This window comes from Homo sapiens, chromosome 7 (assembly GCF_000001405.40).
Source record: "Homo sapiens chromosome 7, GRCh38.p14 Primary Assembly".
Lineage (NCBI taxonomy): Eukaryota > Metazoa > Chordata > Mammalia > Primates > Hominidae > Homo > Homo sapiens.
In genome coordinates, this window is record NC_000007.14 from 139,477,144 (window position 1) to 139,489,762 (window position 12,619).

General features: G+C 50.7%; 1 protein-coding gene across 4 annotated transcripts in view, besides 5 other annotated features; it reads right to left on the reverse strand.

The window, feature by feature from the left end:
* Positions 1-6,530, reverse strand: part of KLRG2 (killer cell lectin like receptor G2) — a 56,576-nt gene extending 50,046 nt beyond the window's left edge. For all 4 annotated transcript variants that reach the window (XM_011516141.3, XM_005250311.4, NM_198508.4 and 1 more), the window contains exons 1-3: positions 5,743-6,530; positions 3,003-3,104; positions 2,484-2,629 (exon numbers count right to left, since the gene is read on the reverse strand). In XM_011516141.3, the coding sequence (XP_011514443.1) occupies positions 2,484-2,629; positions 3,003-3,104; positions 5,743-6,499 (1,005 nt within the window). In that variant the 5' untranslated portion in view covers positions 6,500-6,530. The remainder of the gene's footprint in view (positions 1-2,483; positions 2,630-3,002; positions 3,105-5,742) is intronic.
* Positions 2,175-2,675: an enhancer, noted in NCBI's record as "H3K4me1 hESC enhancer chr7:139164064-139164564 (GRCh37/hg19 assembly coordinates)". NCBI's record gives its function as "activates a minimal SCP1, AML or CMV promoter by ChIP-STARR-seq in naive H9 embryonic stem cells {active_cell/tissue: H9 hESC(naive)}" and the evidence as "EXISTENCE:reporter gene assay evidence [ECO:0000049][PMID:30033119]".
* Positions 2,676-3,176: an enhancer, noted in NCBI's record as "H3K4me1 hESC enhancer chr7:139164565-139165065 (GRCh37/hg19 assembly coordinates)". NCBI's record gives its function as "activates a minimal SCP1, AML or CMV promoter by ChIP-STARR-seq in naive H9 embryonic stem cells {active_cell/tissue: H9 hESC(naive)}" and the evidence as "EXISTENCE:reporter gene assay evidence [ECO:0000049][PMID:30033119]".
* Positions 5,690-5,769: an enhancer, noted in NCBI's record as "active region_26761". NCBI's record gives its function as "activates an Ori minimal core promoter by ATAC-STARR-seq in GM12878 lymphoblastoid cells {active_cell/tissue: GM12878}" and the evidence as "EXISTENCE:reporter gene assay evidence [ECO:0000049][PMID:35858748]".
* Positions 5,900-6,179: a silencer, noted in NCBI's record as "silent region_18696". NCBI's record gives its function as "represses an Ori minimal core promoter by ATAC-STARR-seq in GM12878 lymphoblastoid cells {active_cell/tissue: GM12878}" and the evidence as "EXISTENCE:reporter gene assay evidence [ECO:0000049][PMID:35858748]".
* Positions 6,640-6,699: a silencer, noted in NCBI's record as "silent region_18697". NCBI's record gives its function as "represses an Ori minimal core promoter by ATAC-STARR-seq in GM12878 lymphoblastoid cells {active_cell/tissue: GM12878}" and the evidence as "EXISTENCE:reporter gene assay evidence [ECO:0000049][PMID:35858748]".

Sequence of the window (12,619 nt, forward strand, 5' to 3'; positions counted from 1 at the left end):
CCCTATGGAAAACAGTATGGCAATTCCTCAAAAAATTAAAAATAGGATTACCATATGATCCAGCAATTCTCACTTCTGGGTATATACTCTAAGAACTGAAAACAGGGTCTCGAAGAGATATTTGTCCACCCAAATTCATAGCTGCATTATTCACAACAACCCAAACATGGAAGCAACCCAAGGGTCTGTCCACTGACCGGTGAACAAATAAGCAAAATGTGGTGCATACACACAATGGAGTATTATTCAGCCTTAAAAAGGAAGGGAATTCTCATACAGGCTACGACACGGGTGAGCCTTGAGGACATGATACTAAGTGAAATAAGCCAGTCACAACAAGACAAATACTGTGCGATTCCACTTGTATGAGGTTCTTAGAATAGTTCAAACCAAAGAGAGAGAGAGAAAAGGCAGCTTGGTGGCTGCCAGGGATTGGGGGCGGGGGAAATGGGGAATCAGTGTTTAGAGGGGTTAGAGTTTCAGTTGTACAAGACGAAAAGAGTTCAGGAGATGGATGGTGGTGATAGGTGCTCAACATTATGAATGTATTTAATATCACTCAGCTGTACACTTAAAATGGCTAGGATGGTAAATTTTATGTTATGTGTATTTTAACACAATTTTTTTTTTTTTGAGACGGAGTCCCGCTCTTTAGCCCAGGCCGGATTGCAGTGGCACAATCTCGGCTCACTGCAAGCTCCGCCTCCCAGGTTCATGCCATTCTCCTGCCTCAGCCTCTGGAGTAGCTGGGACTACAGGCGCCCGCCACCGCGCCCGGCTAATGTTTTGTATTTTTAGTAGAGACGGGGTTTCACCGTGTTAGCCAAGATGGTCTCGATCTCCTGACCTTGTGATCCACCCGCCTCGGCCTCCCAAAGTGCTGGGATTACAGGCGTGAGCCACTGTGCCCGGCCCACAATTTTTTTAAATGGGGAAAAAAAAAAGCCAGGCACAGTGGCTCACACCTGTAATCCCAGCACTTTGAGAGGCCGAAGTGGGAGGATCGCTTGAGTCCAGGAGTTTAAGACCAGCCTGGGCAACATAGCAAGACTTGTGTCTCTACAAAAAATAAATTAGCCAGTTGTGGTGGCACATGACTGTAGTCCTTGCTATTCAGGAGGCTGAGGTGGGAGGATTGCTTGAGCCTGGGAGTTCAAGGCTGCAGTAAGCCATGACTGCACTACTGTACTCAGCCTGGGCAACAGAGTGAGGACCTGTTTCAAAAAAAAAAAAAAAAAGGACAACACTGGACGCAGTGGCTCACACCTGTAATCCCAGCACTTTGGGAGGCCGAGGCGGGCGGATTACCTGAGGTGGGGATTTTGAGACCAGCCTGACCAACATGGAGAAACCCCATCTCTACTAAAAATACAAAAATTAGCCAGGTGTGCTGGCACATGCCTGTAATCCCAGCTACTTGGGAGGCTGAGGCAAGAGAATCCCTTCAACCCGGGAGGTGAAGGTTGCAGTGAGCCGAGATTATGCCACTGCACTCCAGCCTGGGCAACAGAGTGAGACACAACACATAAATAAATAAAAAAGGAAAACAAAATTATGCCAAGGACTGGATCCTATCTATTGGTCCCTTTTTGTAGATGCTCTCAAACCCACTGACTGGATTACTATTCAGCAAACATCCACTCCTCTCCCTCTCCCATGGGGATGGAATATTCTACACAGACCCAACCTGCAGCCTCAAACCAAGCCCTGGCAATCTGCATTATAAAGCTGAGCTGTCCAGCCAAGCCCAGCCTATCAAAAGATGACCCAGAGACCAACGATTAAAAACATAAGTGCTTGGCTGTGCGCAGTGGCTCATGGCCTGTAATTCCAGCACTTTGGGAGGCTAAGGAAGGAGGATCACTTGAGGCCAGAAGTTTGAACCAGCCTGGCCAACATCGTGAGACCCTGTCCCTTAAAAAAAAATTATTTTTATTTTTATTTATTTATTTATTTTGAGACGGAGCCTTGCTCTGTTGCCCAGGCTGGAGTGCAGTGGAGTGATCTCGGCTCACTGCAACCTCTGCCTCCCAGGTTCAAGCAATTCTCCTGCCTCAGCCTCCTAAATAGCTGGGATTACAGGCGCCCGCCACCATGTCCGGCTAATTTTTGTATTTTTGGTAGAGACAGGGTTTCACTGTGTTGGTCAGACTGGTCTAGAACTCCTGACCTTGTGATCCGCCTGCCTTGGCCTCCCAGAGTGCTGGGATTACAGGTGTGAGCCACTGTGCCTGGCCAAAAAAAAATTTTTTTTAAAGCTGGGCATGGTGGCACATGCCTGTAGCTACCCAAAAGGCTGAGGCAGGAGGATTGCCTGAGCACAGGAGTTAGAGGCTGCACGAAGTTATGGTCATGCTACTCCTCTACACCTTGGTGATTTCTATAATGAAGAGCTGGACTCAATCATTAAGCTTCTTTCCAGTGCTAGGATTCTGTGGTCTAGAAAGATCTGTACCCCCTTAGATTGGACACCCCCTTCTCACCTGGGTGTGGCTTAGCAGGGGGAGGGTAGCGTGGTAGGCTGAGCAGAAAGCCTGGCTGGCTTCCCAGGCCTGCGCTTCTGCAGAGAAGTAGTAACAGTGCTCCTCGGACAACACCCAGCCTGGGGGGCACTGCTGGCATCTGGCTCCTGCAAGCACAGAGACTGCTGGTGAGCTGCAGGGTAAGCTGCATTAAATAAACAAAGCCTGGCTGCTGCCTCAAATGAAGGGGCATGGAACTGGCAAACCTCAAGGTGGGCAGGGCCCCAGGGAGCTTTTATAGTCTGTGCAGTGCACAAAGTCCCCGGGGTGGCAGCTGGCATCTGATTGCTTATCAGGGCACAAGCTGTATCCAGTGGGAGGAAGGCACCCATTTTCCTTAACTTTGCTCATCAAGCACCATGTCTTCGTGTTGCATCTCCCAGTGTCTCTTTCTAATTCTAAGGTGTTTTAAGGGCTGGAAACACAGCCCCAGTAGTGGAGCGGCAGGGAGAGGGGATGGGGACTGCAGGGACACCATACCTGCTCTTGAGGCCAGGACCACAATGACAACCCCAGAGACTGCCAGGAGCACAGCCATGAACGCCAGGGCCCAGTACAGGGACTTCACGTACATGGGTAGCCCTGGGACGGGGGCAAACAGGATAATCAGATTAGTGGAGACCATCCCAACCAACCCAACTCAGAACCACAGACACAGCACACCAGCATCTCACCCACCTCACCCCAGCACCCACCCCCTCAGCCTGGGATGCCAACATAAACCACAACGTTTAAGTTCCAACTTTATATTCTGGAGAAAGAAGCCAGATATTCTTTTTTTTTTTTTTTTTTTTTTTGGAGACAGAGTCTTGCTTTGTCGCCCAGGTTGGAGTGCAGTGGTGCGATCTCGGCTCACTGCAACCTCTGCCTCCCGGGTTCAAGCAATTCTCCTGCCTCAACCTCCTGAGTAGCTGGGGTTACAGGTGCGTGCCACCATGCCCGGCTAATTTTTTGTATTTTTAGTAGAGACGGGGTTTCACCATGTTGGCCAGGTTGGTCTTGAACTCCTGACCTTGTGATCTGCCCACCTCGGCCTCCCAAAGTGCTGGGATTACAGGTGTGAGCCAACGCGTCTGGCCCTTTTTTTTTTTTTTTTTTGAGACTGAGTCTTTCTATCGCCCAGGCTGGAGTGCAGTGGCATGATCTCAGCTCACTGCAACCTCCACCTCCTGGGTTCAAGCAATTCTCATGCCTTAGCCTCCCAAGTAGCTGGGATTACAGGTGACTGCCACCATGCCTGGCTAATTTTCATATCTTTAGTAGAGATGGGGTTTGACGATGTTGGTCAGGCTGGTCTTGAACTCCTGACCCTAAGTGATCCGCCCGCCTTGGCCTCCCAAAGTGCTGGGATTACAGGCGTGAGCCACCGTGCCCAGCTTCAGGAGCCTTATATGTGGAAGAGGAAGACAGGTGGTGAGCATCAGAAGTGGCAGCAGGAGGACTCTACCAACAACGCTGGATTTTAATATAGAGAAGGGCTTGACCTAAGAAAAGCCCAGAAGCTAGCAAAGGCAAGAAAAGGGAGTCTCCCCTAGACCCCCAGAAAGGAATGCAGCCCCACTGAAAACTCGATTTTAGACCAGTGAGCCGGCATTATAGACTTCTGACTTAACGGAACTGTAAGATAATACATTTGTGTCACTTAAAGACACTAAGTTTGTGGTAATTTGTTACAACAGCAATAGAAAACTAATATTCCATCACACAGAAAATGTGCTCACATCAAACTCTGCAAAAGTTCCTGAGTGATCCAAGCCCCTGAACCCTAGCCCTGTCTAAGAACCTCTCAACTAGAGGCCCTGGGAATTTGGTGCCTGTCAGTGGGCTTGGCCTGCTTCTCAATCAGCCAAGCTTTTGCCAGTTTGCCTGCTGGGCGGGGCTCTGACCCCTCCTGGCCGTTGCTCCTTCCAGTCTCTCTACCTAGCAGGGATCCCTAGCACCCCCTACTCCTACTCACCTTTCAAGATGTGGCTTTCTGGCTGGCCCGGTGGTTCACACCTGTAATCCCAGCACTTTGGGAGGCTGAGGCGGCTGGATCACCTGAGGTCAGGAGTTCCAGACCAGCCTGGCCAACATGATGAAACCCCCTGTCTACCAAAAATACAAAAACTAGCCAGGCATGGTGGCCGGCGCCTGTAATCCCAGCTACTCGGGAGGAGGCTGAGGCAGGAGAATCGCTTGAATCCAGGAGGCGAAGGTTGCAGTGAGCCGAGATTGTGCCATTGCACTCCAGCCTGGGTGACAAGCGCAAAACTTATTTCTTAAAAAAAAAAGAAAGAAAAAAGAAAAAAAGAAAAAAATTGGCTATCTCTTGCCCCAAATTCACCAACTACTCCCTCCAGTCTCCTTATCCAGGACAGTCTGTATCTTTTGTGGGCTCTTTCTTCTGTGTCAAGCTCCCCCTCCCCCACACCACAAAATAACCAGCCGCACATACTACTGGCACATCTACCCTGTGGTCCCACTCACTATCTACTGAATGGATGAGTGTTTGGGGCTAAATGTTCCTCAGTGTGGTGGAAAGAAAGCAGCAGCCTGGACCTTCCAGAAAGTCCTTGGCAGTGCAGGGATGGGGGGATCTGGGCTGCCACCCCTGCCACCTGATCCTGAATGACTTCCCCTCATCTGGAGTTCCTTCCACTGCTACTTCTCAAAGGTGCTGCGCATGCTAAGAGGGAATTTGAAAGTTCGGGAGTGCGGGTAGGGGAGGATGAGAAGGGGAGTGGCTTTACTCTTTTTTTTTTGAGACGGAGTTTCTCTCTTGTTGCCCAGGCTGGAGTACAATGGCATGATCTCGGCCCACTGCAACCTCCGCTTCTCGGGTTCAAGCGACTCTCCTGTCTCAGCCTCCTGAGTAGCTGGGATTACAGGTGAATGCCACCATGCCAGGCTAATTTTTGTATTTTTAGTAGAGACGGGGTTTCATCATATTGGTCAGGCTGGTCTCGAACTCCTGACCTCAGGTGATCCGCCCGCCTCGGCTTCCCAAAGTGCTGGGATTACAGGCGTGAGACACGGCAACAATGTGAATTACAGTTACGTAGACAGGAATGTTATTGATTGTAAGCCCGAGAGGCCAGATCGGGTTGGGGATCGGGATGGCCAACTGGGTCCCTTAGTCGGTCAGCTGCCCAGCGGTCCAGGGCTGGGCGGGTGTGGGGGTTTCGGCTACGTCCACCCGACCTGGCGGCGTCGGCTGCCGGCGCAGGTGAGCACTCACCCGTAAGCGTTACGGCCCGGGGCAGCTTCTCGTCGCCGTCCAACCCCGCGCGGGGCAACAGCGCCGCATCCTCCTTCTCCAGCCCCAGCTCCTTGCAGCGGCAGCACGTGGGGGAGCCCGGGGAGCCGGCGCTTCCTTCCGCGGGGCTGGCCCGGCCCTCTGCGTCGCAGCCGCTCTCCGTCCGGGCTGCAGCCAGCGGCGAGCGGCGGCCCCACGTGCCGCCCTGGGATGGTGCGCGCAGCAGGAGCTGGTGCGCCGGGTCCGCGTGGCGGGAGAAGGCAGGGGACTCGGGCACCGGCACCTTGAGGAAGCGCGTGGAGGGCCTGGGCGATGGCGTGCTGCTGCCACCGGCCGCGCCCACGGGCTTCACGCGCACATCTACCTGCAGCTCCATGGGCGCCCAGGCGCTGGGCGCAGGCTCAGCCCCGGGCGCCTCGCCATTCCGGGGCAGCTTGACCAAGGCAGGGCCCGGTGACGGCGGCTCGGGGCAGACCCCGTAGCCCAGGCTGAGCGGCGGCACGCGCGGGGACCCGGGGCGAGGCGAAGGCGGCTTTTTCTTGCTCGAGGGCTCCAGGCCTGCGCCCGCCGCCTTCTCCACGGCCCCGGCCGGACTTGGGCTGCTTTCGGGACCTTCAGGTTGTCGCACCTTCGCGGGCACCTGCGGCTGCTCCAGCGTGGGGACCAGGCTTCCCACGGGCTCCATTGGGAGCTCTGCCCCGGCTTGGCCTCCGGGCGCAGCCTCCCAAGACTCCTCCATCCCGCGCGCCCCGCCACCCGGAGACGCTGAGGAGCGCACCTGGGCCCAGTGCAGAGGAGCTTCGCTCTCCTCCGTCCGGATTGGTCCAGCCGCGTCGCCGAAGTTGTCAGGCCACGCCCCTCCCCGAAGGACCCCGCTGTGATTGGCTGTGGCTGAGGTTCTGCTGCCCCGACCCCCTTCGGGACACAGCCCCGGCCTCCACCAGGCACTGGGAGGGAGCTGAGAACGGCAGCGGGGCCAGGCGAGGGTTGCAGGGTGGGCGGGAGCTCTCGGGAGAAAAGCAGAACACCAGCGGAGGCTTGTGGCAGGGAACCCGGAGCCCCGCCTGACCCTTCCCTCTTCTTTGTCTCTGACCTCACCCATTTTCCCCTCCAGCCCTATGCCGGGGTGTTGGTTTTGAGAGTTACAGTTTGGGCGGGGAAGGATTGGCCAAGCCTGTCTGGATCCTGGGACCTCAGAGAAATCAGAATCCAAAGGAATTGGGGCGACCTGTGGAAAAGTAGCCCAGTTGGTTGTCCTGACAATCCAGCAGGGTTTCGAAAGGACTCTCCATCATACTTGGGAGGACTCCCCCACTGAGTAACGCTAAGAGAAAAGAAACAGGGCGTGGATAAGCAATTCTTCTTTTTTTTTTTTTTTTTGAGACGGAGTCTTGCTCTGTCGCCAGGCTGGAGTGCAGTGGCCCGATCTCGGCTCACTGCAATCTCCGCCTCCCAGGTTCAAGCGATTCTCCTGCCTCAGCCTCGTGAGTAGCTGGGACTACAGGCACCCACCCCACCACGCCCGGCTAATTTTTGTATTTTTAGTAGAGACGGGGTTTCACCATGTTGGCCAGGATGGTCTCGATCTCCTGACCTCGTGATCTGCCCGCCTCGGCCTCCCAAAGTGCTGGGGTTACAGGCGTGAGCCACCGCGCCCCGCCTGGCCTCTGGTATTTTTAAGTGCCCCCAGGGTAGGGTTGGCAGATAAAATGCAGGCCACTCAGTTTAATTTGAATTTCAGTTAAACAAGGGATAGTTTTTAGCATAGTAGTCCTCCCTTATCCACTGGGATAGTTCCAAGACCTCCCAGTGAATGCCTGAAACTTTGGATAGCACCAAACCCTATATATACTGTTTTTTTCTATACAAGCGGTCTTCAAAAGGTTCATGGAAAATTCATACTATGAAAAAAACTATGCATGGATTTGAAAATTTTTTGGCACCAAAATAAATTTGTACTAACTTGTTATCACATGTCTCGACAAGATCTAGTTTGAGGCACTAAGAAGGATAAGACATCAGTTTGAAAAGAGCTCCTGTCAGAGCAACAAGGATTCTGCTAAATTTGAAGCAAGAATAATCATCACATTTATGGTGACATCATTGATATTTTTATGAAAAGCTCATGGGGACAATGCCCCCAAGAAACCAGCAGTTTGCAAATGGAAAACTCGTTTTAAGAAGGGATGAGGCCAGGCGTGGTGGCTCAGCCTGTAATCCCAGCACTTTGGGAGGCCGAGGCAGGTGGATCACTTGAGGTAAGGAGTTCGAGACCAGCCTGGCCAACATGCTGAAATCCTGTCTCTACTAAAAAAGCAAAAATTAAGCTGGGCGCGGCAGCTCACGCCTGTAATCCCAGCACTTTGGGAGGCCGAGGTGGGCGGATTGACTGAGCTCAAGAGTTCAAGACCAGCCTGGGCAACACAGTGAAACCCCGTCTCTACTAAAATACAAAAAATTAGCTGGCATGGTGGCATGCGCCTGTAGTCTCAGCTACTCGGGTGCCTGAAAATACAAAAAATTAGCCGGGCGTGGTAGTGGGTGCCTGTAATCCTAGCTACTCGGGAGGCTGAGGCAGGAGAATTGCTTGAACTCGGGAGGCAGAGTTTGCAGTGAGCCGAGATTGTGCCACTGTACTCCAGCCTGGGTGACAGAAGGAGACTCCATCTCAAAAAAAAAAAAAAAGAGAAGGGATGAGACAATGTTGAGGATAAAGCCCTCAGTGGCAGACCATCCACATCAATTTTTGAGTAAAATAATTAATCTTATTTGTGCCCTCATGAAGAGGACCAACGATTAACAGCACAAACAACAGCCAACACCAAAGACGTCTCAATTGGTTCAGCTTACACTTTTCTGACTGAAAAATTAAAGTTGAGCAAAGTTTCCACTCTATGGAAAACCATTGCGTCCAGATCAGCTGCAGCCAAGAGCAGAACTTTCAATGGAAATTTAAAACGAGTAGGATCAAGATCCTGAAGCATTTCTCTGAAGAGTTGTAACAGAAGATGGAACGTGGCTTTACCAGTAGGATCCTGAAGACAAAGCACAAAGCAATGGCTCCCAAGAGGTGGAAGTGGCCCAGTCACAGCAAAAGTGGACAGGTCAAGAGCAGAAGTCACAGCAACAGTTTTTTGGGATGCTCAAGGCATTTTGCTTGTTGGCTTTCTAGAGGGCAAAAGAGCAATAACATCTGCTTACTATGAGAGTGTTTTGAGAAAGCCAAAACTTTAGCAGAAAATCACCTGGGAAAGCTTCACCAAAGGGTCCTTCTCCACCACTACGAGGCTTCTGCTCATTCCTCATCAGTCAAGGGCATCACTCAACATGTTCAAGTTTTAAATGCCTCTTTGGGCCCAGTACCCTCCTCCTGCTAACACCCTCTCTATTCTTCCTTGTCGTGGCCAAACTTTTTTTTTTTTTTTGAAAGAGAGTCTTGTTCTGTCACCTAGGCTGGAGTGCAGTGGCGTGATCTCGGCTCACTACAACCATGGCCTCCTGGGTTCAAGCAATTCTCGTGCCTCAGCCTCCCAAGTAGCTGGGATTATAGGTGTGCACCATCACAACCGCTTAATTTTTGTATTTTTAGTAGAGACAGGGTCTTGAACTCCTGACCTCAGGTGATCTGCCCGCTTCAACCTCCCAAAGTGCTGGGATTACAGGCGTGAGCCACCACACCGGGCCATGACCAACCTTTTTTAACAAGGTAATTGCCCCCATCTGTCTGCCAAAATTTTCCTTGGCAAGGGTACAAGTCACCAAACCCAGCAAATGCTTTTTTTCCATTTTTGGAAAAAAAAGATATATATATATATATATGTTATATTTTATATATATTATAAGGATGGAGGAGTCTCGCTATGTTGCCCAGGCTAGTCTTGAACTCCTGGCCTTAAGCCATCTTCTCGCCTCGGCCTCCCAAAGTGCTGGGCTTACAGGTGTGAGTTACTGTGCCCGGCCTGCAGATGCTCTTCAGTGCTCGTTTTATCTCTCAGGTTTTGACATTATGATCATTTCTTCCTCCTCTCAAAAACCCACTCATCTGTGGCCTGTGGGCTTCCTGACACCACCTCTACCAGCTCTCCTTCTGCCTTCCTGGCTGTTCCTTTGAAAATTGCTGCAGAGCTTCTCACCCACCATACGTCAGTGACCTTCAAGCCCAGATCTTTCTCCTGAGCTTAGGTTCTTCTTTGCAGGAATTTGACACTAGATATGAGAGACCCAGAGCCGAGTGTTGTCAGAGCTCCTAGTAGGGCAGCTCCCTAGAGAGAAAGCCCAGAAACTCCTGCTCTGGGCCCCAGAGTTTGTCCGATCTCAGCCCTTCCTAAAGCTTGTTTGTTCAATTCTGTGGATTTCACGAGACCCTGAGTATCCTTCTCATACCTCCTCCACTTTTTGCCTTATCATTTAAGACTCTGGGTCAGGCATGGTGACTCACACCTGTAATCCCAGCACGTTGGGAGGCCAAGGCAGGAGGATCACTTGAGCCCAGGAGTTTGAATCTGGGCAGCATAGGGAGACTTTGTCTTTACTAAAAAAGCAAAAAGTTAGCTGGGTGCAGTGGCATGCACCTGTGGTCTCAGCTACTAGAGAGGCTGAGGCGGGAGGATTGTTTGAGCCTGGGAGTTTGAGGCTGCAGTGAGCTGTGATTGTGCCACTGCACTCCAGCCTGGGCAACAGAGTGAGATCCTGTCTCACAAAAAGAAAGGAAGGAGAGAAAGAGAGTAAAGGGGAGAGGAGGGAAGGAAAGGGGAAGACAAAGGGGAAGGGGAAGGGAAGGGTGAGGTGAAGGGGAAGGGGGAGGGGAGGGTAAGGGTAAGGGTAAGGTGAAGGTGAAGGTGAAGGTGAAGGTGAAGGGGAGGGGGAAGGGAAGGGGGAGGGAAGGGAAGGTAGATAAAAGGAAGGAAGGAAGGAGGAACTGATTGCAAGTGGCCGAAAACCCAAGTCTCACTGGGCTCCACGTCTGTCTTGGGGTGAGGGCCAGGCTTCGATGGAGTCTCTCTATACCTCCTGTGACACAGCACAGCAGCCTGGCACCAGAAGGCCATTTACAACTTCTAAATTGAGACATCCTAAGATAGGTGAATTACCCAAATGTTTCAAGGGGGTTCAGATGTTGGCTGGCAAAAAAGAACAAATATCTACCGTGATCCTTCCTTTCATCCTTTTCTCCCTTTCCCTCACTTTAAAATCCTGTTTTCTGCTTGCAACAGCAATGTATGTCTGCAATACAAAATATAGATATTACAGAAGTGCATACTGTAGAAAAGAAAGGTCCCCTGTTTTCTATGCTCCAGAGATTTCTGTTATTAACATTTTGGTATGCAGTCTTCAAGATTTTTAAACAAATGTATACACTAACCTGTACTGTTATTATATATATAAATATCTTTATTTCCAAAACTTCACTCATATTAAATGTTTTCCTATATGTAATTTATTTAAGAAGTCTCCTGATGGACGTTTGAGTTGTTTCCATTTGGGTGACATAATTACTGTAATGCTGAACATGATATAGATATAATTCAGTGAGCATACTTGTATATATTGTTTTTAAAAATCACATCTCTGAAATATCTTCAGAATAGAATCATTAAAATGAAATTGCTGAGCCAAAGGGTGGTCAGAATTTTGAATGTGATGGGTACTGCTAAATTACCCACAAGAGGCTCAACAAACAAAGGATGCGAGGGCTGTTCCCGTGGCCGCCCCATCGCTCCGTATCATCAATCTTCTTAGTCCTTACCAATCTGATGGGCAAAAATATTGAATTCCAGCTTGCATTTCTTTAACTATGAATGAAGCTGAACATCTTTTCATTTGTTAGTTGTGCTACTGAGAAGTGTCTTGGACACTGTCAGGGCCTGGATGAAATACCACTAACATTTCCTCTAATGCCAGTTCCAAATCACTGGCTGGTTCCAGGAGGTGGCCCTGCAGGAATCCTCATCATTTTTCCTGCCCCACACCATGAGGTTCACTGGTCAAGGGTGGCTGATGGTATCTGGTCTGTCCGAACAGACTGAGTTCTACAAGCATAAATTAAATTGCAGCTTAATTCCCCAGAGAGGAGGCAAACATTCCCACTCCTGGTTCTTGGCTGATGTCATCCCCGTGGCATCTTGGGCCCCTCTAGGGGCCCTGGAGACACAGATGAGGAAGGAGAGGGGTTTCCGCACAGCCAGCTCCCTGGCACAGCCCATCCCCAGCTCACATTCCACCTGCTCAGAGGCTCAGAGGGTACCCAAGCCAGTGTGACATCCCCTCACACCGCCTAAGCCCCCACCTTGGTCTCTCACCTGTCAGCTGTCTTCCTAGCATTCTCCACAGTCTGTGGTCAGCACGTGCACATGGTTGTTCACCCTTTAATGCTTGTCTCTGGCCCCCTAGAAATCCTCACTGCATCCCCAGATCAGTATCTGACACGCCATCCCTGGTTCTTGACTGACATCTCCGCCAGGAGCTTAGTGAATATTTATTAAATAAATTATGCTGAATGGGGCATTGTGCAGAGTGCTTCACACACCTGGTCTCTCTTCCCCCCCTCAATCTTTGGTTGACACATTTTTAAACATTAAGAAAAATGGAAAGAATAAATGGTGATCACGTGAACGCCCTCCACCTTGATTCAACAGTTAGCATTTCACACATCGTTCTTGTCCTTCTCTCCACCTCTGTGCAAACATTCTCTCTGTTGTTATGGAACCATCTGAGTGTGAGCTGCCGACCTCGTGAAGCCTCACCCTTCAATATTTCAGCGTGCATCTGCGAAGAATACACGTGTTTTCCATAAGTACAACGCCATTCTCACACCAAAGAAATGAACAATAACGCCGAGCCAGGTGATATTTTGGAGACC